The sequence below is a fragment of the Homo sapiens genome, chromosome 6 (genome assembly GCF_000001405.40).
Source record: "Homo sapiens chromosome 6, GRCh38.p14 Primary Assembly".
NCBI classification, from domain to species: Eukaryota; Metazoa; Chordata; class Mammalia; order Primates; family Hominidae; genus Homo; species Homo sapiens.
The window spans coordinates 149,431,533-149,434,532 of record NC_000006.12 but is presented as its reverse complement, the minus strand read 5'-3'; the positions used below and the strand labels follow the sequence as shown (position 1 = coordinate 149,434,532).

The following is a 3,000-nucleotide window of genomic DNA, read 5'->3' as shown; positions in this document are numbered from 1 at the left end:
TGGTTTCACTCCCACTTGTAAGTGGTTTTCTGTTTCTGTGATAATTAACTTAGGATAATGGTCTGCAGCTGCATCCATGTTGCTGCAAAGGGAAGCCCCATTTTCTTTATCCAGTCCTCCACTGATGGGCACCTAGGTGGAGTCCATGGCTTTGCTGTTGTGGACAGTGCTGCAATAAACATGCGAGTGCAGGTGTCTTTTTGGTAGAACAATGTATTTTCCTTTGGGTACATACCCAGGAATGGGATTGCTGGGGTGAATGGTAGTTGTATTTTTAGTTCTTTGAGAAATCTCCAAACTGCTTTCCACAGGGGCTGAATAATTTACATTCCCACCAACATTGTTATGAGTGTTCTCTTTTCTCTGCAACATTGCCAGCATCTTTTATTTTTTGACTTTTAAATAGTAGCCAAGAATGACTGACTTGCTAGATGATCACACAGTGTGCACACAAACATTTCATAAGATCGTAAATAAGGAACATTTCAGAAGCTTTGCTGAGTAAGGATAGTCATTGCAAAAAACAAGCTTCCAAAAATGGTTAACTAAAACTAGGAGGGAAATATATTGTAATACAGACAACTTACATTTGTGTGGCATGTTGGCATTCATCAAGCAAATTTCCATGTACTGTATTATGTACTTTTCATATTAATTCATGGTGCTGTGAGGTAGATTATAAGTCCTATTTTATGGATAAACTGAGGCTCACAGGGTGACTTGTCTGAGATCCTTCAGCTGATAAGTATTGGGTTCCAACTATGAAGGACAGGGACCAATCCAGGGATCTCTCCATTACACCTGTGAGCAGTGATGGGACAGAGCTTCTTTGCTACCTGCTGCTTTGTGGCTAAGCCCGCCTTGGCCTCAGGCAGCCTAGCTGCTGATCTCAGCTCTACCTCCTACCACCTGCTGTGTGTCCTTAGGAAAGCATCTTAGCTTCTCTGAACCTCAATTTTTTCATCAGTAAAAAGGGTGCAAAGAATATCTGGCATATTGGATCATCAAGAAGACTAAACGAGCTACTGTAAATACAGCCCCAAGTGCAGTGCTTGACAGAATTACTGCACAAAATGCTGGCAATTATCATGACATTGTTATCCAAGTACATCATAAAACTAATTGAAGGAAGTGACTAGGGGATGCTCTGCAGCCTCTGCGACACAACTGTTGCTCCATGAAGATACAGATTTTCAGTAATTTATTCTAATGTTTATTATTTTATTATTTATCTTGTTTTATTTTATTTTGAGACAGAGTCTCACTCTGTCGCCCAGGCTGGAGTGCAGTGGCGTCATCTTGGCTCACTGCAACCTCTGTCTTCCAGGTTCAAGTGATTCTCCTGCCTCAGCCTCCCGAGTATCTGGGATTACAAGCATGTGCCACCACGCCTGGCTAATCTTTGTATTTTTAGTAGAGAAGAGGTTTCGCCATGTTGCCCAGGCTGGTCTCGAACTCCTGACCTCAGGTGATCCTCCCACCTCGGCCTCCCAAAGTGCTGGGATAACAGGTTGGAGCCACTGTGCCTGGCCTGCTTTTCAGTAATTTTGAAGCACAAAGTACTCAGGCTGTTGATGATTTCCCTGTCAATACAAGTAAGCAGTCAGCTTCGTTAGTGGTCTGTTGTTGTGCAGATGTGGAGAACTGATAAGCGACGTGGAAGGAGAAAGGTACGCCTCATCGCATGGTGTGGGAACACGTGTGTGTAATGCTAGAAATACTAGTATTTAGTATTTTAGTATATTTAGTAAAATTTAGTAATTTTAGTATATAGTATTATTGGGTCAATTTTGTTCTTAGTTTCACACGTACATTCTTGGACATTTCGACATTCAAATGCCTTGTGGGGAATTAGTAACATATCTCTAAGGTCTTGTCCAGCCCTAACATTCCGTGATTTCTAAAAACCACCCCAACACATTTATATAGCATCACTGACCAACTCGCTTTGAAATGGATAAAGTATGTTCCCATTCCATGCGGTTTTTTCCTATCCGACTACAGAAATAGTTCTCCCCCTCAAATCTCACTTCAAATGTGGGTTTGAGGCATGATTTTTAAAGAGCTTCCAACATTGCGATAGTGTTGGCAAGGATGCCAGGAGGGAGCCCTCCAGAACATAGGACTCCACTCCCTTAACTTCTGGAAGGCAGAGGGGAAAAGCACAGTCGAAATTCTCTGGAGGGGAAGGCGCTGGTCTGCTTCAGCTGAGAAAGGAGCTGATCAACGGTAATCCGCACCAGTCCTGAATCCTTTATTCTCTTTACACAGAGTGGCTAGAAACAGGCTGCCCAACACAGCTGCTGGTGTCCCTTCAGACCCAGGGACGCATGTCAGAACCAGCACCAACCATTAGGTGGCGCCGTTGTAGCACAACAAGCATTGACCTGGGTTGGCGACAAATCTGACCCCGCTCCCGGTGGAACTGCCACTGGCTCTCTCCCCTGTCATGGGGTTCCCACAAGCCTAGCAGCTCGGAGCCCCAGGCCAGTAACCAGTGAACAGCTGAGGATGAGGATGATAAAACACAGGAAAAAACACGTGCACTTGCACCCTGGCAGTTACAGCTCTTTGTGATGGAAGATGTAACAGCTAAGGCAAATTAAATATGTTTTCATTTAAAATTCATAATAAACTATTTTGAACATACATAAAATTATGTGTATATATGACTATTGTAACAAATGCCTGATTTTTTTTTTTTTTGTTTTTGAGATGGAGTCTTACTTTGTTGCCCAGGCTGGAGTGCTGTGGCATGATCTTGGCTCACTGCAGCCTCTGTTTTCCAGGTTCAAGTGATTCTCCTGCTCAGCCTTCTGAGTAGCTGGGACCACAGGTGCGCACCGCCACACCTGGCTAATTTTTTTGTATTTTTGGCCATGTTGCCCAGGCCTGTCTCAAACTCCTGAGCTCAAGTGATCCTCCTGCCTTCGCCTCCCAAGGTGGCTGCCTGACTTGAATTTTAACACCCTGCCATGTTTGCATTAATGTTTTATTTCT

General features: G+C 43.7%; 1 annotated feature.

Moving 5' to 3' along the window:
• Window positions 2,272-2,558: a silencer, noted in NCBI's record as "fragment chr6:149753111-149753397 (GRCh37/hg19 assembly coordinates)". NCBI's record gives its function as "represses an EF-1alpha promoter that drives an FKBP-Casp9 reporter gene in an ReSE screen in phorbol 12-myristate 13-acetate-treated (for megakaryocytic differentiation) K562 erythroleukemia cells {active_cell/tissue: K562(+PMA)}" and the evidence as "EXISTENCE:reporter gene assay evidence [ECO:0000049][PMID:32094911]".